At 44.5% G+C, this 23,809-nt stretch overlaps 1 protein-coding gene and 1 pseudogene across 4 annotated transcripts in view, besides 2 other annotated features; one reads left to right on the top strand and one right to left on the bottom strand.

Annotated features, from left to right (window-relative positions):
* Window positions 6,275-6,324: an enhancer, noted in NCBI's record as "active region_19727". NCBI's record gives its function as "activates an Ori minimal core promoter by ATAC-STARR-seq in GM12878 lymphoblastoid cells {active_cell/tissue: GM12878}" and the evidence as "EXISTENCE:reporter gene assay evidence [ECO:0000049][PMID:35858748]".
* Window positions 6,475-6,634: an enhancer, noted in NCBI's record as "active region_19726". NCBI's record gives its function as "activates an Ori minimal core promoter by ATAC-STARR-seq in GM12878 lymphoblastoid cells {active_cell/tissue: GM12878}" and the evidence as "EXISTENCE:reporter gene assay evidence [ECO:0000049][PMID:35858748]".
* ULK4 (unc-51 like kinase 4) overlaps window positions 6,604-23,809 on the top strand; it is a 715,505-nt gene continuing 698,299 nt past the window's right edge. For all 4 annotated transcript variants that reach the window (NR_136342.2, NM_001322501.2, NM_017886.4 and 1 more), the window contains exons 1-2: window positions 6,604-6,691; window positions 13,900-14,085. Coding sequence is in view for 2 of the 4 variants with exons in the window: in NM_017886.4 (NP_060356.2) it covers window positions 13,948-14,085 (138 nt within the window). In the remaining 2 variants the exon portion in view is untranslated. The remainder of the gene's footprint in view (window positions 6,692-13,899; window positions 14,086-23,809) is intronic.
* RPL36P20 (ribosomal protein L36 pseudogene 20) lies at window positions 12,947-13,262 on the bottom strand (annotated as a pseudogene).

Below are 23,809 nucleotides of genomic sequence, written 5' to 3'. Positions count from 1 at the left end.
CTGTAATCCCAGCTACTCAGGAGGCTGAGGCAGGAGAATTGCTTGAACTCGGGAGGTGGAGGTTGTGGTGAGCCAAGATCATGCCACTGTACTCCAGCCTGGGAGACTCTATCACAAAAAGAAAAGAAATTTAAAAAGGAACTTTGTATTTTGCTAACTTAAATGCACTATTATTATTCTTATACTTCTTTGTACGAATAAAATATTTTTTTCTCTCCTGCAATATCTAATGCAATGCTTTGCCTAAAAAAGAAAGTTTCTTTCTTTTTCTTTTCTTTCTTTCTTTTTTTTTTGAGCATCTTGTTCTGTTGCCCAGGCTGGAGTGCAGTGGCACGATCTATGCTCACTGCAACCTCTGCCTCCCAGGTTCAAGAGATCCTCCTGCCTCAGCCTCCTGAGTAGCTAGGATTATAGGCACCTGCCACCACGCCTGGCTAATTTTTGTATTTTAAGTAGAGACAGGGTTTCACCATGTTGGCCAGGCTGATCTTCAACTCCTGACCTCAGTTGATTCACCTGCCTCGGCTTCCCAAAGTGCTGGGATTACAGGCATGAGACACCGCGCCCGGCCTTAAAAAAAGGAAGTTTCTATGTGCTCGAATGAAGAGTTTTTTGTTTTTAATTTTTTTTGAGACAAGGTCTCACTCTGTCGCCCAGGCTGGAGGGCAGTGGTGCGATCACAGCTCACTGCAGCCTTGATCTTCTAGGCTCAGGTGATCCTCTCACCTCAGCCTCCCAAAGTACTGGGATTACAGGTGTGACCCACTGGGTCTGGCAAGAGGTTCTTTATGATCATCTAGAAGTGAGGAAGATGAGACATTAGTTGTTTCTGGGAGGAAGAATTTGCCCAAATAAACTCCGCATTGATATTTTCCATGTCAGATTCACTCTTACCAATTATAATGAGAATGAAAATCTAAAATTGAGATGAAAGCAAAGGTCACTCTGAAAGCACTTAGGAATTTAAGCAATTCAAAACCTGGCATTTCAGCTCTCAGTCCTACTTAAGAATCTAAATAGCACTCAGCTGTTTTATACTTTTTGAAATTTAACTAATGTCTGTCAAGGTCTAATCTTTGGACCAGTAGTGGTCACTGAGTAGGTAGGTTCCATGCTTTCTCTGGTTTGTCTTTTTTTTTTTTTTGAGATAGAGTCTCACTCTGTCACCCAGGCTGGAGTGCAGTGGCGTGATCTCAGCTGACTGCAAGCTCCGCCTCCCAGGGTCACACCATTCTCCTGCCTCAGCCTCCCGAGGAGCTGGGACTACAGGCACCCGCCACCATGCCCAGCTAATTTTTTGTATTTTTAGTAGAGATGGGGTTTCACCATGTTAGCCAGGATGGTCTCGATCTCCTGACCTCATGATCCGCCCGCCTTGGCCTCCCAAAGTGCTGGGATTACAGGTGTGAGCCACCGCGCCCAGCCTCTCTGGTTTGTCTTTTGTGATACTGTCTTAAAATGGTCCATGCTTTCTCTAGTTTGTCTTTTGTGATATTGTCTTAAAATTATCTATAGCAGGAGTTCTTAAACTTTTCTGAGTCATTGGCACCTTTGAGAATCTGACCAAACTCACAAACCCTCTAGCCAGAAAAAAATGCACATGCATACAAAAATTTAATTGTCTTTGTAGGTTCACGTATTGCCTGGAAGTGTTACCAGAAAGGGGTCCCAATTCAGACCCCAAAAGAGGGTTCTTGGATCGCAAGCAAGAAAGAATTCGAGGTGAATCCATAGAGTAAAGTGAAAGTAAGTTCATTAAGAAAGTAAAGGAATAAAAGAATGGCTACTCCATAGGCAGAGCAGCAGCTTGGGCTGCTGGACTGATAATTGCCCACCCTCCCTTCCTTCCTTCCTTCCTTTTTTTTTGAGGCAGAGTATCACTCTGTTATCCAGGCTGGAGTGCTGTGGTGCCATCTTGGCTCACTGCAACCTCAGCCCCCCACCCAGTCCGGGTTCAAGCAGTTCTCCCACCTCACCTTCCCAAGTAGCTGGGATTACAGGTGCATGCCACCGTGCCCGGCTAATTTTTGTATTTTTAGTCGAGACGGAGTTTCACCATTTTGGCCATTCTGGTCTTAAACTCCTGATCTCAAGTGATCTGCCCGCCTTGGCCTCTCAAAGTCCTGGGATTACAGGCGTCAGCCACCATGCCTAGCCTATTTCTTGACATATGCTATACAAGGGGTGGATTATTCCTAAGTTTTCCGCAAAAGGGGTGGGCAATTCCCAGAACTGAGGGTACCTCCCGCTTCTAGACCATATAGGGTAACTTCCTGATGTTGCCATGGCATTTGTAAATTGTCATGGCACTGGTGGGAGTGTCTCTTATCATGCTAATGCATTTAATTAGCATATAATGGGCAGTGAGGATGACCAGAGGCCACTTTTGTCACCATCTTGGTTTTGGTGGGTTTTGGCTGGCTTCTTTACTGCAACCTGTTTTATCAGCAAGGTCTTTTGACCTCTAGCTTGTGCCGACCTCCTCTCTCATCCCGTGATTAAGAATGTCTATCCACCTGGGAATGCAGCCCAGAAGGTCTCAGCCTTATTTTACCCAGCCCCTATTCGAGATGGAGTCACTCTGGTTCGCATTTCTCTGACAGAAGCATCCAAGGAACTTAGGCTAAGAAGACCCAGGATCTGATATTGCTTCTGACATGAACTTTTAGGTTATTTATAAAAACTCAGAATAAACAAAATATTTCAAAGTTTTAATCTTCATTAATTTGACAGTAGTCCAGGAGGAGACGTTTTCCCTACCAAACCTGTTAAATACACAGAACTGACAATAATGGATGCTGAGACTCTTGAGAAGGCAGGAAGGGTCAGAAGTAAAAGGAGATGTGATTTACCTGAGATCAGAACAGTTTTTCTAGATGGTTGTTTGAAAAGTGTGGTGCTCAACTTGCAACATTGACATCACCTGGTAAGTTGATAGAAATGCAAAATTTTAGGCCCCATTGAGATACAGAATCAGAAGTTTTGTAGGTGGAGCCAGAAATCTATGTTTTAACAAGAGCTCCAGGTGATTCTGATGGTAAAGTTTGCAAACCACTTTTGCATTGAAGGATGCTGAAGAGGGGAGCTGGTTCATTTTCTCACCTCTGGATGATCATAAAGAATCTGTCAGCCGGGCGCGGTGGCTCACACCTGTAATCTCAGCACTTTGGGAGGCCGAGGCGGGCAGATCACCTGAGGTCGGGAGTTCAAGACCAGCCTGACTAACATGGAGAAACCCCTGTCTCTAGAGTGTAGCTAGGTTAGCACTCTAGCCTGCGCAACAAGAGCTAAACTCTGTCTCCAAAAAAAAAGAATCTCTCATTCAAGCACATAGAAACTTCCTTCTTTAGGCAAAGCATTGCATTAAATGCTGCAGAAAAGAAATTTATTTTTTACTTCATACAAAGAGGCATTAAATAATAACAATGCATGTAAAGTTAGCAAAAAATAAAATTTCTTTTTAAATTTCCTTTTTACAGACAGGATTTTGCGCTGTTGCTCGGGCTGGAGTACAGGCTCCAGTGTATCTGGTGGTTGAAACTTGCAAGTGTGGAGCTTTGAAAGCCGTAAGTGATGGTTGACAAAAAGAGTTAAACTCTGTAAAATATTTAAAGAGATTTATTCTGAGCCAAATCTGAGTGACCATGGCTCGAGGCACAGTCTCAAGAGGCCCTAGGAACATATGGCTAATGTCTCACGTGTCCGTGTGAAGAGACCACCAAACAGGCTTCGTGTGAGCAACAAGGCTGTTTATTTCACCTGGGTGCAGGTGGGCTGAGTTTGAAAAGAGAGTCAGCAGCGGGTGGTGGGATTATCGTCAGTTCTTATAGGTTTTGGGATAGGCGGTGGAGTCAGGAACAATGTTTTGCGGGCAGAGGATGGATCTCACAAAGTACATTTTCAAGGGTGGGGAGAATTACAAAGAACCTTCTTAAGGGTGGGGGAGATTACAAAGTAAATTGATCAGGTAGGGTGGGGCAGAAACAAATCACAATGGTGGAATGTCATCAGTTAAGGCTATTTTCACATCTTTTGTGGATCTTCAGTTGCTTCATGCCATCTGGATGTATACGTGCAGGTCACAGGGGATATGATGGCTTAGCTTAGGCTCAGAGGCCTGACAGCTAAGGTGACTGAGCTGCAGCTCGGTTTTACATGTTTTACGGAGAAATAAGACATCAATCAATACATGACATAAGGTATTGGTTGGGTCAGGAAAGGTGGGACAACTCGAAGCTGGAAAGAGCTTCTACATCATAGGGTGGATTTAATAGGTGATTGGTGTTATGCCACGACTACGCCAATTGTCAGGTTCCAGCCCCCAGCTGAGGTCCAAGGGGAGTGGGTGGATGGGCGAATAACTGAAAGAACACAAGGAGGGTTGGGGGCGTGTAGGCAAGTGAAATGTAGTTTTATTCAGCGGCTGTGTCATCAGCAGCTTAATCACACTAGCTCTCTCACACTGTCCACCTTTATCTCGGCTGTCTGTTCTGGCTCTGTGGCTCCTGTTGCCCCCATGCCTGCAGCTGCACACCCTGGCCTGCAAAGCCAGCTCTGTCAGGGTCAGCAGCTTAACTCTCCCTCTGGGCACAAGCTGGTTCCTGGCTCGGCTCCCCTCTGCCCACCTTAAGGGCAACCGCTCTCCCTTAGAGGGGTTAGTAGCATTACTCTGGGCACCAGTGCACGAACCGGGTCGTGTCGTGCTGAACTCAGACCTGGGCACAGTGTCAGCAGGGCAGTTATACCTTCTACAGACAATAGTGGCTCAGATCCAAGTATGAACTTACATAAACGGGTTACATAACAAGTGGAATATGCGCCTGTGTCCTAAACTCGCTGAGCCACTCTGGCCCGGATGTCCACCTTGGCCTATTCCTTGACCAAAGCACATCCATATACCCTACAATTGGCAATTGGTTAAAAGAGTTATTATATAAAGACCTGGAGCCAATAGAAGGCAGTGTCTGGGTTGAGATAAGAGGTTGCAGAGACCAGGGTTCTTGTTCTGCAGATGAAGCCTCTATGTAGCAGGTTTCAGAGAGAATAGATTGTAAATGTTTCTTATCAGACTTAAAACAGGTGTCAGGTTCTCAGTTAATTCTCTCCAGCATCAGGGAAAAGACCTGGAAAGACAAGGGGATTCTTTACAGAATGTAGATTCCCCCCAGAAGAGATAGCTCTGCAAGGCCATTTCAAAATATGTCAAATAAATATATTTGGCCAGGCACGGTGGCTCACACCTGTAATCCCAGCACTTTGGGAGGCCAAGGCGGGTGGATCACCTGAGGTCAGGAGTTCAAGATGAGCTTGGCCAACACAGTGAAACCCTGTCTCTACTAAAAATACAAAAATTAGCTGGTGTGGTGGCACACGCCTGTAATCCCAGCTACTTGGGAGGCTGAGGCAGGAGAATCACTTGAACCCAGGAGGTGGAGGTTGCAGTGAGCCGAGATTGCGCCACTGCCCTCTAGTCTGTGTGATGCAGCGAGACTGTCTCAAAAAAAATATATATATATATACGTATATGAGTATATATGTATACATAAGAGTATATGTGTGTGTGTGTTTGTCTATGTGTGTGTATATATATATCAGGATAAAATACTTCAATGTCTTTTGGGGCCTGCTGCCATGTTGGTATCTTATTGCTGCAAAAAAGTCTGTTTTGTCAGTCTTAAGGTCTCTGTTTAATGTTAACGCTGGTCAGCTGTGCCTGTATTCCAACGGGAGGAGGGTATAATGAGGCCTGTCCCACCCCATCTTCCCATCATTGCCTGAGCTAGTTCTTCAGGTTAACTTTGGCGTGCCTTTGGCCCAGAGGAGGGATCCACTCAGTTGGTAGGGGGGCTTGGAACTTTTATTTTTAGTTTACACAATCAACTTGAGATCAGAGTGTCTCATCTGTTTCCTCCATCTCCAAAAAGGAAGGTAATTCACAGCCTTCTCTTTTCTAAATGGTGAGGACCCCGGGGCCCCTGCTTCTGAGGCGTTGGTTATCCAGACTATGCCACCATGTCTACCTGAGCTCCCAGAAGAAGCCAGAAAGAAAAGAATGGAAGGAAACAGAAGGACAGTGGGAACGGGAAGAGAAGAAATGACGAGGTCTCAGTTCTCCACACTCTAGCCTCAGCACCCACTTAAGATTGAAGAGTAGTCCCTCACGGGCTCCCACTTCGGACTCTGGCCAATAGGAACTGAGACTCTTAACCAATCAGCGCTTTGCGTTTTTCCAGCGTTCTGCGTGCTGCCATGGAGATGGAATGAGCAAATCCAAACATAGAGGGATGGTGGGCCGACCACTATGACTGTTACTCCAGCACTTCCCGCCCCAGTCTCTGGCCTGTGGGCTCGTCCAAAGGCAGGGCGTGATGCCCTTTGGGTGGAGGGAGGGGCCCTCGTGGTCTCTCACTTCCGGGCCCCAGCCAACAGGAACGGAAACTGCACAGCCAGTCGGCTTCCTGAGCTTCTTCCGGCGTTCTGTGTGCTGCCGTGGAAACCGTATGGACGAATCCAAACCTGGAGGGGCGTCGCCTCCGTAAGGCTGGTCGGCTTCTTCCGCGCGTTCCGCTTTGCTTCACTGCTTTCTCCCCCATTCTTGGGCCTGTGGACCTGTCCTGAGGCAGAGGCCGAGATGCGCGCAACCGCGGGAGCAGCCAAGTGGACTGGACTCTTTTCTTGACTTAGCTACCAGGTGCGTGGCAGTGGCGGTTTTAGTAGCTACGAGTCTGAGTTCGTGTCTGCCTAAGCGGTCGCGGAAGAGCGCGCAGGCCTGCCGGGGCGGGTGGGTGGTGGCGCCTGGCCGCCCTCTCTCCTTCTGCCAGTGGACCCCGTACCCCCTGCGCTCCCCTGCTTTGCGCTCGTGTTAAAAAAGCCGCCCGTTTTTATCCGGGCGTTAGTTAAGGGCACACGGGACGCCTCTTCTAGGACCTGGGTGCAGCGGGGAGAGAGAGTGCTTGTGTGTTTCGGCTTGGGAGATGTGCTTTATGGACGCCATCTCTTAACTTCCCAGAGCGGACCGCGTCTTCACCGCCCTGCAGCGCTTCCTAGGCTCCCAGCCGGTCTCGCGGACTGATGCCTACGGACGTAGCGAGGCCGCGAAAGCCGCCGATTCGCCCGCCGCGAGTTGCCTGGGGAGCGGGGGGGGGGGGGGGGGGGGTGAGTGACTACGTAGCGCCCCTGAGTCTGTGATAATTGAGTCTGTGAAGTGCGGCGAGGAGGAGCACCTATGGAGTGCTTAGTGTGGCGCGCGCCATCGGTTACATCTCGGGGTTGATTTGGCTGGCATTTCGCAGACTTGAGCGCATCCCAGTCACCCCAGGGCGTGTAGTAACACAGAAGGCCAGGCCCTACCGCCGTAGTGTATGATTCCGTAAATTTGGGGCAGGGCCGATAACTTTTTCTTTTGTATTAAGTCCCAGGTGATGCTCATGCTTCTGGTGCGGGAGTCATGATTGTGCTGAAAGTGGGCACCTGTGCGCTCTTATCACCTGTTCGCTCTCAGCGTTCCTTGAATGTAGGACCTGCCCCCGACTCTTAAATGCCTCATTTGCACCTGTATGTGATTTGCTCTGCCTTCTGGCTTCTTAGATGCTTCTTAGGTGAACTTGTGAATTAAGAGAGACTTCCTTAGGAGCACTATAGGTTAAGAGACTAAACTGTGGTTTCTGGGAAAGCACACTCGAGTGAGAAAACCATGAAGAAACCTAAGGAAGTGATGACTACGAAAGTCAGGGGGTGGTTAACTTTTGGGGATCAGGAGGGGTGGTGATTGAGACAGGCTCACAGAGGGGCTGCTTGTGTGGCTGGCAAAGTCCTATTTCCTGACTTTGGGTGGTGATTAGAAGGGTGTCCCTCTTTAGTAATTCATTAAACTATGTATTCTGTGGAGTTTTCTGTACTTGTGTTTTATTTTATAATTAAGAGGTTACAGCTTTAAAAATGAATATTAGGAAGTCTGTAATGGGGAACGTGTTTGGACTGAGTCAAAGAATCTTAAAGTCATGGAATTTCAACTATTAATAAGTTATTGAAAGATAACTTAGTGCCAGGCGCGGTGGCTCACACCTGTAATCCTAGCACTTTGGAAGGCCGAGGCAGGCGGATCACTTGAGGCCAGGAGTTCTAGACCAGCCTGGGCAACATAGTGAAACTCCATATCTACCAAAAACACAAAAAATTAACTGGGTGTGGTGGTGTGCCAGAGGCTGAGGTGGCTACTCTGGAGGCTGAGGCACGAGAATCGTTTGAACCCTGGAGGTGGAGGTTGCAGTGAGCCTAGATCTTGCCCCTGCACACCAGCCTGGGCCACTGAGTGAGACCCTGTCCAAAAAAAAAAAAGAAAATCATTTGATCCAATTCTTATTTTACTCTAAGGAAACAGCCTTAGAGAGGAGAAATGCTTGAAAGTAACAAACCACCCTATCTAAGCAGATTTATAACTAATGTGTTTTGTTAATTTCAGACTGAAATTGTCCACATGTGACTTGATGGTCAGATGTGACTAAAGATTAAGGAAATGAATTTGGCCTAAATCAAATTCAAAATTTCAAGATGGGCTGGATGGTGGCTTGCACCTGTAATTCCAGAATTTTGGGAGGCTGAGGCAGGAGGATTGCTTGAGCCCAGGGGTTCAAGACCTAGCCTCCTTTAAAAAAAAAAAAAATCAAGATTTTACTTAATTTTTTCCCTTGTAGCCTAAAACCTTATTTTCAAGAAATCAGTTATACATACTGTATGAAAACTTATTTTATCATCTTATCCTGAGATATCCTAATGTAGACAATTTGTGAACACTTAAGGTTTCTGATTATATTTTTTCTGGCTTAGTAACTTCCCATCTTAACATACTGTCAGTTTAATCTTATTTTGGTTATAATACATACCATATAGCTGGGACTACAGGCATGCACCACCATGCCAGGCTATTTTATTTGTGTAGAGTCGGGATCTCACCATGTTGCCCAGGCTGGTCTTGAACTCTTGGCTTCAGACAATCCTGCCTCCACCTCCGAAAGCGTTGGGATTACAGACATGAGGCACTGTGCTAGGCCAGGATTGGTTCTTTTTAATGAATGGGTTTTAGAACGAAGAGGGATGTAAAAAGGACTTAGGGAAACCGTCATTAAAAGAAAGATACTAACCAGTGCCTTTTTGTTTTTAATTAATTAATTATTATTATTTTTTTTGATATGGAGTCTCTTGTCACCCAGGCTGGAGTGCAGTGGCGCAATCGGCTCACTGCAACCTGTGCCTCCTGGGTTCAAGCCATTCTCTTGCTTCAGCCTCCGGAATAGCTGGGATTACAGGCGCCCGCCACCATGCCTGGCTAATTTTTTTTTTTTTTGAGATGGAATCTTGTTCTGTTCCTCAGGCTGGAGTGCAGTGGCGCGATCTTGGCTCACTGCAGCCTCCGCCTCCCGGGTCCAAGCAATTCTCTGCCTCAGCCTCCCGAGTAGGTGGGACTACAGGCGCGTGCCACCATGCCTGGCTAATTTTTTGTATTTTTAGTAGAGATGGGGTTTCACTGTGTTAGCCAGGATGGTCTTGATCTCCTGACCTCAGGTGATCCACCCTCCTCGGCCCCCCAAAGTGCTGGGATTACAGGCGTAAGCCACTGCACCTGGCCTAATTTTTGTATTTTTAGTAGAGATGGGGTTTCGCCATGTTGGCCAGGCTGGTCTTGAACTCCTGACTTCAGGTGACCTACCTGCCTTGGCCTCCCAAATTGCTGGGATTATAGACGTGAGTCATTGCACCCTGCCCATAAATAAAAGTTTTAATGGAACTCAGCCATATCCATCCCTTTGCTTATTGTCTCTGGTTGCTTTTGTAGTTCAAGAGCAAAGGTGAGTAGCTGTGACAGAAACCATAAGGTCTGTAAAATCTAAAATGTTTACCCGCTAACATTTTGTAGAAAAAAGCTTTCCTCTCCTAGAACAATCTTGGATTTTTTTTTCATCTGTAAAATGAGTTTCCTTAATTTTTTTTTTTTTGAGACAGTTTCACTCTTGTCACCCAGGCTGGAGTGCAATGGTGCAATCTCAGTTCACTGCAACCTCCCTCTGCCTTCTGGGTTCAAGCCATTCGCCTACCTCACCTTCTTGAGTAGCTGGGATTACAGGTGCGCGCCACCATTCCTGGATAATTTTTTTTTTTTTTTGTATTTTTAGTAGAGATGAGGTTTCACCATGTTGGCCAGCCTGGTCCTGAACTTGTGACCTCAGGCGATCCGTCCGACTCGACCTCCCAAAGTGCTGGGATTACAGGCGTGAGCCACCGCATCTGCCAATATATTCACCAGTTTTGTTATTAATTTTTGAAGTCTTAAAAAATTTTTAATTGTAAAATACACATAAAATTTACCATCTTAACCCTTTTTAAGGGTACAAGTTTAGTAGAGCTTAAGAACAGTTACATTGTTGTGCACCAGTCTCTAAAACTTCATTTTTGCAAAAGCAAAATATATTACATTTTGCTTATCCATGTATCAGCGGACACAAGTTGCTTCCATGTTTTAACTATTGTGAATAATGCTGCTGTGAATATGTGGGGTACAAATATCTCTGAGACCCTGCTTTTAATTCTTTAATATACCCATATTGAGGTATGATCTACCAGTAATTGTATGTATTTGAGGTGTACAAGGTTTTTTTTTTTTTTTTTTGAGAAAGGGTCTCACTTCGTTGCCCAGGCTAGAGTGCAGTGGTGAGATCTTGGCTCACTGCAACCTCTGCCTCCCGGGTTCAAGCTATCCTCCTGCCTCAGTCTCCCAAGTAGCTGGGACTACATGCACAGGCTACCACTGCTGGCTAATTTTTAAAAATTTTTAAATATCTTGTAGAGATGATGTGTTGCCATGTTTCCCAGGTTGGTGTCAAACTCCCGGCGTCAATTGAACCTCCCTCCTTGGCCTCCCAAAGTGGTGGAATTACAGGCATGAGCTACTGAGTTCAGCCCAATGTGCTTTTTTAATTTTTAATTTTTTTTTTTTTTCTGAGACATGGTCTCACCCTGTTGTCCAGGCTGGAGTACCATGGTGCAGTTGTAGCTCACTGCAGCCTCAATCTCCTGGGCTCAAGCAGTTCTTTTGTCTTGGCCTCCCAAAGGGGTGAGATTATAGGTGCGAGCAACCGTGCCTGGCCAATGTGCTGTTTTGATATGTAGATATGTTGTGAATTTCTGGAAAGTTTAATATAGTCTAACATATCTTTCCAGAGAGATGCCAGGTTATGAAAGATTGATTTTTTTTTTTTTTTTTTGAGTGGTGCTCTGTCTCCCAGGCTGGAGTACAGTGGCACCATCTTAGCTCACTGCAACCTCTGCCTCCTGCGTTCAAGTGATTCTCCTACCTTCAGCCTCCCGAGTAGCTGGGATTACAAGCGTGTGCCACCATGCCTGGCTAATTTTTGTATTTTTAGTAGAGATAGGATTTTGCCATGTTGGTCAGGCTGGTCTCAAACTCCTGACCTCAGGCGATCAGCCCACCTCGGCCTCCCAAAGTGCTGGGATTACAGGTGTGAGCCACTGCACCCAGCCTGAAAGAATGATTTTAATGAATTACTTAGATTAAATTGTCATATATTGTTTATGACTAATTCCACTTTAACTGAAATTCTAAATAAGATGTAGTCTGATAAGAGTTTACATCAAGTCCTTATTTACTTATGAAAACTAAAGAGTTATGTTGGCCAAGAAAACGAACTCATTTAACTACTTATACCTTAGGTGAAGGATGAAGTCCTTGGTTAAAACAACAACAACATCACTTGATTTAGAGCAGGGGTTGGCAAACTTTTTTAAATAAAGGGACAAATAGTAAATATTTTAGGGTTTGTGCAGGCTGTAGAGTCAACTCTGTCATAGGCAATATATAGCAGTTTGAAAGCAGCCATAAGCAATATATAAATGAATGGGTGTGGCTATGTTCCAATTAAACTTTATTTACAAAAGCAGGCAGCACACCCAATTTGGCCTATGAGCCAGTAGTATTCATGATACTTGGATTGACTCCTGCAGTCTAGGGATTACATGGAAATATCATTCCATATTTGTTTATACTGTATTTTCACTTGTTTTCTCTTTTACTTCTCATAATTAATAAGGTCTAGGTGGGGCATATGTTTCTCTTTTGCTTCTCAAAATTTATAAGGTTTAGGTGGGGCATACCAGTCAAGACCAGTAGAGGGTCTTGACCGCAAGTTGTCCAGGTTCTTGGCATTTTGAGCAAAGAACTGGACAAAATGCCCAGCACAGCAAGGAAAGAATGAAGCAACAAAAGCATGAAAGCAGGGATTTATTGAAAACGAAAGTACACTCCACAGTGTGGGAGCCACCTGAGCAGCACTGGAGGGCAGGGATACAGATACCCGGTCCAAATACCCCCTAGAGCTTTCCCACTGGCCTCTTCACGCTCACCTCCGGTAAATCAAGTGGTGGCCTGCAATCGGTCTATTGGTTGCAGTCAGCCAATTTCATTGATTCCATTTCATTCATTCATTCATTCCATTCTCTGCAACCAGTCAGATGCTAAGGTGAAGTTACAAAGTTGCAAACCAAGACTACGCCCCAATCAGTCTGATTGGTTGTGGTCATCTGCTGCATAGAAAAGGTGGGGGATTTGCAAAGGGAATAGCCTCTGGTCCTTTTGTTACTTAGGCGTGGAAAGTTAGGGTTTTCCTTTCAATTTAGTTACAGGAAGTCAGTGTGAAACAGCCTTAGGTTCCCTGCCTCCAGACCCTGTTCTCCTGCCTCACATATATTATCCCACTGTGCAGATGTTGTTTTCCCTTGTACCAGGTTTCCATTGTAACGGAGAAAGTAAGATGGAGACACATTGGATAAAATCTAATTCATACCCTGATTTTGTTACCGTTTTTCGAAATAGCTGTTATTTTCACTTTTTTTTTTTTTTTCTGTGAAGGTTTTATGGATAGGGTATGGGGCCTCAGTCCTTCTTTGTGGCCACTTTCTTCATGGCGGGCAGGGCGTTGCTTAGCTCTTCTCTCTTCATCTTGGTGCGGACGTGTCCCCCACTCTCTTCTTGATGAACCTGAGGGCCGTTTGTCCTTGGAAACCTTGAGCAACTCCATGGCGCGCCAGCTCGTAGGGAGTAAAGCCATACATCTTTGGAATAATGTCCCGCATGAACTTGGTGTGCTTGGTCAGTTGCCCACTTTGGCGGTGGCTGGGCCAGGCTTGCTCCCATTTTTGGTAACTCTGTGGCCCTCATCGAGGCCCACGGCCACAGGGTCGCGCAGAGCCATGGCTGCTGGTCTCCAATGGCGGCAGCGGCTGAAGGGCCGACCGCACGGAATGCTGGGATATCTACCCACCCTAGAGGCACGGGCAGCCACTGTGTTTTTAAAACATCTTGTTGATGGGAACTTGAATATTGGTTTGTGAATATTTATTGATTTTTGAGTTGGAGTCTCTCCTTGTCGCCCTGGTTGGAGTGCAGTGGTGCGATCTCGGCTCACTGCAGCCTCCGCCTCCCGGGTTCAAGCGATTCCCCTGCCTCAGCCTCCCGCGTAGCTGGGATTACAGGCGCGCATCACAACACCTGGCCAATTTTTGTATTTTTAGTAGAGACAGGGTTCACCATGTTGGCCAGGCTGGTCTCAAACTCCTGACCTCAGGTGATCCCCCTGCCTCGGCCTCCCAAAGTGCTGGGATTACAGGCGTGAGCCACTGCGCCGGCTGTGAAGTTTTATTTATTTGCCCCGTAGTTTCGTTCATCCTGCAAAAATATCAGCATTAGTATTTAACATTTGTAAGTGAATTTTCTGAATTTGTCGATTTGCTAGATTTTTTACACATATAATATCCTAGGCTAATTATCCTAGGCTAATTAATTATGCAACTAACTTGCATTTATCAATGTCATTTTTGTTTACTTCTTAGGAGCTAGAGATGCTGTTATTCTATTGTATGTGAGAAGTCGGCCCAGAGATGGAAAACTTTATTCTGTATGAGGAGATCGGAAGAGGAAGCAAGACTGTTGTCTATAAAGGGCGACGGAAGGGAACAATCAATTTTGTAGCCATTCTTTGTACTGATAAGTGCAAAAGGCCTGAAATAACCAACTGGGTAAGTCAGTGTATTTCCATTGGCATGGGGAAAGAGAGAGCTACAATAGGTAGAAGGGGGTAGCATTTTCACAGTAGTCATTGAATTTGATATATCAAATGCCACATTTTCAGTCTGGAATGGATGACCTTCATCTGTTCAGTGCCACCAGTCCTGAATAATGAGTAATAAACATATCCAAGTAATGACTAACTTAATTTTCTTTTTTGTTTCTTTTTTTTGGGGGTGGGTATAAATTGGGGAAACTATACTCTTTTTTTTTCTTTCCCTTAGAAACAGGGTCTCTCTCTGTTGCCCAGACTGGAGTGCACTGGGCTCACTATAGCCTCAACTTCCTGGGCTCAGATGATCCTCCCACCTCAGTCTCCAGAGTAGCTGGGACTACAGGCACATACCACCACGCCTGGCTAATTTTTTGTATTTTTCTTTTTTTTTTTTTTTTTTTAAGACGGAGTCTCACTCTGTCGCCCAGGCTAGAGTGCAGTGGCACGGTCTCAGCTTCACTGCACTGTGCCTCCCGGGTTCACGCCATTCTCCTGCTTCAGCCTCCCGAGTAGCTGTAGTGGTGCCCGACACCACACCCAGCTAATTTTTGTATTTTTAGTAAAGACGGGGTTTCACTGTGTTAGCCAGGATGGTCTCGATCTCCTGACCTTGTGATCCGCCCACCTTGGCCTCCCAAAGTGCTGGGATTACAGGTGTGAGCCACCGCGCCCGGCCAATTTTTTGTATTTTTCATGGAGTCGGGGTTTGGCTATGTTGCCCAGGCTGGTCTCAAACTCCTGAGCTCAAGCAGTCTGCCTGCCTCAGCCTCCCGAAGTGTTGGGATTACAGGCAGGAGCCACTGAGCCCAGCCTGGAAACTATATTCTATATTAGATAATTTACTTTTTGAATTTGGTGTATTTAGGAAACAAGCAGGTTCCCCCAACCTCTGCAATTTACTGTCAAGGAAGGACACTGGGTGATAATGACTTGGGTTTGAAATAGCTGTGTCACTTTATAGCGTAGGCTTCTTGGACCATACCTAGCTTAAAAAATATATATATTTTTAAGCTGGGTGTGGTGGCTCACACCTGTAATCCCAGCACTTTGGGTTCGAGACCAGCCTGACCAACATGGGGAAACCCCGTCTCTACTAAAAATACTAAAATTAGCTGGGCGTGGTAGTGCACACCTGTAATTCCAGCTACTCAGGAGGCTGAGGCAGGAGAACCGCTTGAACCGGGGAGGCAGAGGTTGCAGTAAGCCGGGATCATGCCATTGCACCCCAGCCTGGGTGACAAGAGTGGGACTCCATCTCAAAAAAAAAAAAAAATATATATATATATATATATGTGTATATATGTATATATGTGTATATATATGTATGTGTATATATATGTGTGTGTATATATATGTATATAGTAGTAAAATACAATTTAACAAATTTGCACCTTAGTGATTTTTAATTGTACAGTTTAGGGATAATAAGTACATTCATATTGCTGTGCAGCTATCACCTCCATCTATCCCCATAACTGTTTTCATCTTGTAAAACTGAAGCTCTGTACCCATTAAACTGTAATTCTTCATTTCTCCTTCTCCAGCTTTTGGCAACTATCATTCTACTTTTTGTCTCTGTGGTTTTGACTACTCTATATAAATGGTATCATACAGCATTTTTTGTCTGGCTTATTTCACCCAGTGTAATGTCCTCAAGGTTTATCCACGTTGTAGCATGTGTTAGAATTTCCTCCTTTTTAAGACTGAATCATATTTCATTGTACATATATAAAGCGCATTTTGCTTATTTATGTAACAGTGGACACAAGTTGCTTCCGTGTTTTAACTATTGTGAACAATGGTGCTATGAATATGTGGATACAAATATCTCTTTGAGATCTTGCTTTATTTTGTGTATATACTCAGAAGTGGAATTGCTGGTCCTATGGTAATTCTATTTTTAATTATTTTAAGACTTGCCATACTGTTTTCCTCAGCAGCTCTGCCATCTTCTCATTCCAGACCATCAGTGCACAAGGGTTCGGTTTCTCTGCATCCTTATCAGTACTTTTTGTCTTTTTTTTTGACAGTAACCATCCTAATGGGTGTGAGGTGGTATCTCATTGTTGTTTTGATTTGCATTTCCCTAATGACTAGTGATGCTGAGCAGCATCTTTTCATATGCTTATAGACAATTTGTATATCTCCTTTGGAGAAATGTCTATTCTTTTTGTCCATTTCTGTAAGTCCTCTGCCCATTCTCTAATCTGGTTGGTTGTTTTCTTGCTGAGTTTTACGACTTCTCTATATATTCTAGATATTAATCTGTTATCAGATATATGATATGCAAATATATTTTCATATTCTATAGGTTGCCTTTTCACTTTGTTGATAGTGCCTTTTGATGTACTAAAGTTTAAAATTTTTGCAGAGTCACATTTGTCTTTTTTTTTGTTATCTGTGTCTTTGGTGTCTTACGCAAATATCCAAAAATCATTGCCAAGCCCAGTGTCATGAAGCTTTTGTCCTATTTGTTCTTCTGATAGTTATGTATTTTTACCTCAGTGATATTTGACTCATTTTGAGTTAAATTTTCTATGTGGTGTTCCGTAAATGTCTCTGTTTGGGCTGCTAAGACAAAATACCTTAGACTGGATAGCTTATAAATAACAGAAATTTATTGGTCACAGTTCTTGGGGCTGGGAAGTCCAGGATTAAGGTGCCAGCAGTTTTGGTGTCTTGTAAGGGCTTGCTCTGTTTCTCAAAGATGGTGCCTTTTATGTGTTCCCACATGGCAGAAGAGGAAAACAGGCCCCCTTATGGCTGTATTCTAAGGACACTAATTTTATTTATGAGGGCAGAGCCCTGATGACCTAATCGCCTCCTAAAGGTTCCACCTCCTAATACCACCACAGTGGACATTAGGTTTCAATGTGAATTTTAGAGGGACACATTCAGACCACAACAGTAAAGGTCCAACTTCTCTCTTTTACATGTGGATATCCAGTTTTCTCAGCACCATTTGTTGAAAAGACTGCCCTTTCCTCATTGAATAGTTTTGGAATACTTATTGGAAGTCATTTGACCATATGTGTGAGGGTTTATTTCTGGGCTCCTTATTCTATACTGTTGGTCTATATTTCCATCTTTATGCCAGTACTATACTGTTTTTATTATTGTAGCTTTGTAGTAAGCTTTGGAATCAGGAAGTGTGTGTTTTCCAGCTTTTTTTTTTTTTTCTTTTAAGATTGTTTTGGCCGTTTGACATACCTTGAGATTCTATATGAATTTTCGGATAGATTTTTCTAGTCCCACAAAAATAGTTGTTGGGATTTTGATAAGAATTGCATTGAATGCATACATTGCTTTGGATAGATTGATTTTGGGTAGTATTTGAATGTTAATTATTAATATCTGAAAATTGCCTTCTAATTCATAAACACGTGATATTTTCCCACTTATTTGTGTCTTTTTTTTTTTTTTTTTTTTTTTTGAGACGAAGCCTCGCTCTGTCCTCCAGGCTGGAGTGCAGTGACACAATCTCGGCTTACTGTAAGCTCCGCCTCCCGGGGTTCACGCCATTCTCCTGCCTCAGCCTCTTGAGTAGCTGGGACTACAGGCGCCCGCCACCATGCCCAGCTAATTTTTTGTATTTTTAGTAGAGATGAGGTTTCACCGTGTTAGCCAGGATGGTCTCCATCTCCTGACCTCGTGATCTGCCCGCTTCGGCCTCCCAAAGTGCTGGGATTACAGGTGTGAGCCACCGTGCCCAGCCTATTTATGTCTTTTAAAAATTTCTTTCAGAAGTTTTTTGTAGTTTTTGTTGTGTAAGTCTTTCCACCTGTTTGGTTAATTCCTATGTGTTTTATTCTTTTTGCTGCTATTATAAATGAAGTTGTTTTCTTGATTTCCTTTTTCGATTGTACATTTGTTAATGTATAGAAATTCCCCCTGGACATTGTGGCTCACACCTGTAATCCCAGCACTTGGAGAGACCGAGGCAGGCGAATTGCTTGAGCTCAGGAGTTTGAGACCAGCCTGGGCAACATGGTGAAAATGTGTCCCTGCAAAAGATACAAAAATTAGCTGGGAGTGGGCCAGGCGCGGTGGCTCATGTCTGTAATCCCAGTACTTTTGGAGGCTGAGGTGGGCGGATCACTTGAGGCCTGGAGTTCAAGACCAGCCTGTCCAACACGGTGAAACCCTGTCTCTACTAAAAATACAAAAAAATCAGCCGGGCATGGTGGCACATGCCTGTAGTCACAGCTACTTGGGAGGCTGAGGCAGGAGAATCACTTGAACTCAGGAGGTGGAGGTTGCAGTGAGCCAAGATTGCACCACTGCACTCCAGCCTGGGCAACAAGGCGAGACTCCGTCTCAAAAATTAGCCGGGGGTGGTGGCATGCACCTGAGGTCCCAGCTGCTTGGGAAGGTGAGGTGGGAGGATTGTTTGAGCCTGGATGGCAGGGGTCGCAGTGAGCCATGATTGTGCCACTGTGCTCCAACCTGAGTGACAGACTGAGACCTTGTCTCAAAAAAAAAAAAAGAAAAATAAAAATAGAGTTTTGCCAGTACCTGCATCAATCAAAACTCATCAGACCGTGCCAGGTGTGGTGGCTCATGCCTATAATCCCAGCACTTTGAGAGACCAAGGTGGGTAGATCACTTGAGCCCAGAAGTTCAGGACCAGCCTGGGCAACATGGTGAAACCTTGTCTCTAGAAAAAATAGAAAAATTAGCCAGGCATAGTGGTGTGTGCTTTACTCTCAGCTACTTGGGAGGTTGAGACAGGAGGATTGCTTCAGCCCTGGAGGTCGAGGTTGCAGTGAGCCGCGATCATGCCACTGCACTCCCGCCTGGGCGACAGAGACACTGTCTCAAAAAAAAAGAAAGAAAAAAAAAAAGGCAGGTGTGGTGGCTCACACTTGTAATCCCAGCACTTTGAGTGGCCGAGGAGGGGGCAGATCACTTGAGGTCAGGAGTTCGAGACCAGCCTGGCCAACATGGTGAAACCCTGTCTCTACTAAAAATATAAAAATTAGCCAGGTGTGGTGGTGGGCATCTGTAATCCCAGCTACTTGGGAGGCTGAGGCAGGAGAATCGCATGAACCTGGAAGGCAGAGGTTGCAGTGAGCTGAGATCGTGTAATTGCGCTCCAGCCTGGGCAACAAGAGTGAAATGCTGTCTCAAAAAAAAAAAAAAAAATTCCGCTAATCTTTAAGTGTTGGACCTGGACTTTGTATTTTACTTTGCAAAATTTGTTTTTGTTTTGACAGTTTATTTTATGGAAACTTTACTTTTTGTGTGTGTGTGTGTGTGTGTCTGTGTGTGTGACAGAGTCTCAAAGTCTATCCAGGCAGGAGTTCAGTGGTGTGATCTTGGCACACTGCAACCTTTGCCTCCCAGGTTCAAACGATTCTCCTGCCTCAGCCTCCCGAGTAGCTGCGATTTCAGGTGCCTGCCACCACGCCTGGCTAATTTTTTTGTATTTTTAGTAGAGACGGGGTTTCACCATGTTGGCCAGGCTGGTCTCGAACTCCTGACCTCAGGTGATTTGCCCACCTTGGCCTCCAAAAGTGCTGGGATTACGGGCCTGAACCACCACGCCTGGCCTTAGGGTTTTCTACATATAAAATCAATCACATCATTTGCAAACAGAGTTAATTTTACTTTTTTCCTTTCCAATTTGGATGCCTTTTTTTTTCTTGTGTAATTGCTCTGGCTAGGACTTTTTATACCTTCTTGACTAGAAGTGGAGAAAGCAGACATTCTTGCCTACTTCTTAATGTTAGAGGAAAAGCTTTACTCTTTCACCATTGAGTATGTTGTTTGCTTTGGGTTTTTCATATATGACTTTTATTATGTTGAGATAGTTTCCTTCTATTCCTAGCTTTTGGAGTTTTTTTTTTTTTTTTAAAGGTTGTTGAATTTTGCCAAGTGCATTTTCTGTATTAATTGAGATGATCATGCGTTTTTTTCCCCTTCATAATGTGGTATATTACATTTTCGTATGTTCAACCATCTTTTGTTTTCCAGGAATAAACCCACTTGGTTATCGTGCATAATCCTTTTAATATACTGCTGAATTCAATTTGCTTGCATTTTGTTGACATATCTAGCTTTTACTAAGATAATAAGATATTTAGCATAGTGCCTGACACTTAATAAACACTCTTTCTTTTTTTTGAGACAGAGTCCAGACTCTTTCGTCCAGGCTGGAGTGCAGTGGTGCGATCTTGGCTCACTGCAACCTCTGCCTCCCCTGTTCAAGCGATTCTCCTGCCCCAGCCTCCTGAGTTGCTGGGATTACAGGTGCACATTACCATGCCCAGTGAATCTTTGTATTTTTAGTAGAGATGGGGTTTCACCATGTTGGCCAGGCTGCCCTCAAACTCCTGACCTCAAGTGATCCGCCCACCTCGACCTCCCGAAATGCCGGGATTACAGGTATGAGCCACTGCGCCTGGCTTAAATATTCTTTCATGATGTCTCTTACGTCACAGTCACTAATGGAACAAGAAATACATAGAGAACACATAGATGGAGAGGGAAATACCCAGAACTGGAAGAGAGTTGAGAAGAGGGATGTGGGGTCGGTCACGTGTGGGAAAGAAGGATGAGGGCAGGTTCAGCATGTGCAAGAGTTTTAATGGATATAGAAAGGCCACTGTTTTCTGTTTGCCTTATTCCTGATTTATAGAGCCTGGGGAAGCCTCTCTTTTTTCCAAGATTCATTCACTCACTTCAACACCAAAAGCGTATTGTTGAGTGTCTGCTGTGTTAGAGGGCGAAATGATCCTGTACTTTTGAGCTTATGATCTGGTAAGAAAGGTGAGATAGAGGAATCAAGGCATGTATAAACACTCCATTCAAATGGTTGTCCAAGTCCCTGCTTTTTAGGGGTCTTAGCTCTTGGAAACTCCTGTGTCCCATACCTTGCAGAAGCATTTCTACTCTTTTCCTTTGCAGAAGTTCATCATATGCTACCATTTATTGAGTATATCTAATATGTTCCAGCCAGTGTGCTGGGTGCATTCACTTCTCACAATTGCCTATGATGTCAGTATCATCCTGATCTATAGTTGGTTCAGATCTGTTGGATCATGGTACCAATGCCCCCTCTCCAGTTGAGGAGGCCAGCAGGGTAAGCCGAGAAAATAATTACATGTAAGGAAGAGTTTGACTTCATGGCCTTTTTTCTCCTCTTCTCCATATAGCATTTACCATCATGCTCCCCACTGGCTGTTCTCAGCTGTCGCGTTGACAGTCCTCCTCAGTACTTTCCCTTGCTTTTGACCTTTTCATAACCACACTTTCAGGTGTCATAATTTACCTGTCTCGCTCTGTCGCCCGGGCTGGAGTGCAGTGGCACAGTCTCGGCTCACCGCAAGCTCCGTCTCCTGGGTTCACGCCATTCTCCTGCCTGAGCCTCCCGAGTAGCTGGGACTATGCCCGGCTAATTTTTTGTATTTTTAGTAGAGACGGGGTTTCACCGTTTTAGCCAGGATGGTCTCGATCTCCCGACCTTGTGATCCTCCCGCCTCGGCCTCCCAAAGTGCTGGGATTACAGGCATGAGCCACTGCGCCCAGCCCTCTTGTTCCTTCATTTTAGGACACTGCTGGATAATGTAACAAATTCATTTTCCTTGAAGTATCATCCCCTTCTGTGATCATATTTTGATAGCATTTTGGAGTCCGTCAAAGGCTTAATTCAGGGGGGTGACTAATAGAGATTTTTCAAAGACCACAGTAGGGCCACTGTGGGAGAAATTTTCAGACAAGAAGCTTTGTGATACTTTTTAGGCTTATCAGGATCCAGAACAAATGCCACCCTCTCCTGTAAAACTTAACCCAATTAAATCTCTTGGCCCTTTGACCGCAACATGGAAACCTGATCACAACAGAGAAACTATCTCACCATGAGAATACAACTTGTGACACACACTACAAATGCTGGATATAAGGGTGGATAGCACAACCCCAGGGAAAATTTCACTACGTTGGTAAACTGATGCCTTTCCAAGTAGAACAAGTACTATTGGGAAATGTACTGGATTCCAAGAGAATAAGGAATATTTAGTGCAGGTGTTAGTGTGATTAGGGGATCTTTGGGGTCTTAAGGCACACCCGAGTAGTGTAGTGTGTAGTTCAATGACTTTTAACAAACGTATGCAGTCATGTAATATCCAAATCAAGAAACAGTCTGTCTATTCCTCCAGAAAGTGCCTCCTGCCCTCTCCAGATGTCATCTTCAACACTGCCCCCAGCACTGTTCTTACTTCTATCATTGTAGATTATTTTGCCTGTTCTTGAACCTCAAGTAAATGGGTTCCTATGGTATGTACTTTTTTGTGTCACACTTCTTTTCCTTAAGATGTTTTTGAGATTCACCTGTGTTATTGCAAGTATTGTAGTTATTCCTTTATTACTAAAATGCATTCCATTTTGAGTGAATCTTTTTATTGAAGTAAAATATACATACGGGAGAGTATACAAACCATAATTGTATGCTTAAATTTTCATAAAATAAATACACCCATGTAACCAGCACACAATCAAGAAATAACATGAGCAGTAGTTTAGATGCCCTTCCCGCCCCCTGCCCGTCTCTTTCTTCCCACTCAAGGGTAATCATGATCTTGACTTCTAACTCCACAGATTAATTTTGCTAGTTTTGACTTTCTATGAATGAAGAGTCTGAATACATATTTAAAGTACAGATGATCGTTTTTGGTCATGGATTGGGTATGAGGTGTGAAAGAGAAGTCAATGATTATCCTAGGGTTTTGGCCTACATGACTAAGAAGGATGGTGATAACACTGAGGGAAAAAAGACTAGGAAAAGAATGGATTCGGGCATTTTAATTTTGGGTGCCCACTGGAAGACACTGGGTCTTTGAGTCTGCAGTTTAGGCAGTTCATCAGGGTGGAGATGTAAATTTAAGGAAGACATCTGGAAATGGGCACAAAGTGCTTTCTGGAGGGATGGAAATGCTGTGTATCTTTATATGTCAAATTCATATGTCATCAGCATATAGACATTAGGCCAACGTGAGGGAAGATAGAAGAGGACTGAGGACCTTCATTGCAACATTTAGCAAGTGTAAGGAGAAGGAGGACCCAGCAAAGGAGAGTGAAAGGGAGCATCCAGTGAGAGAGGGGAGCTGGAGAGTGTGGGTAACTGTGAATTGGTTTGCTTATCACCCATTCTGGCATGTTCTCCTGTTCCTCAGGCTCTGGGGAGCTACAAACTGCAATTCCCAGACTCTTTGCAGCCAGAGTTCTAGGTGGGATTGTGATTAAATTAATTAGATGCACTAGAAGGACATTTGGATTCCAAACTGATGTAAGTGGTAAAGGCCCCAAGGCATCCATCCATTTGCCGGCACATCTTGAGGCAGAGGCAGTATGGTTTGGATGTGGTGGCTTCCTACTGGTGGCAGAGGCAGCACTTTGGTGCTGACAGCTGTGATAGCTGTGATGGCAGAGTCTTGATTCCTTAATGTTCTGATGGAGACAGGGGCCAGTGCTCCTCTGGCGGCTCAGTTTTATGGTGTGGTTTTGGGAATTCTTTCCAGAAATTGAGCCTAGATTCTGTTTCAGGAACTTCCCATAATCAATTCTGGAATTATGTAGGCCCCTTAGAAGTCCTTTTGTTAGCCAGAATATATTCTGTTCTCTGTAACTAAAAATATTGGCCAAATCATGGGATGTCATAGAGGTCAAATAACGTCAGTGGT

Source organism: Homo sapiens, chromosome 3 (assembly GCF_000001405.40).
Source record: "Homo sapiens chromosome 3, GRCh38.p14 Primary Assembly".
NCBI lineage: Eukaryota > Metazoa > Chordata > Mammalia > Primates > Hominidae > Homo > Homo sapiens.
Note: the sequence above shows the minus strand (reverse complement) of the source record. Positions and strands in the feature narration are given on the sequence as shown.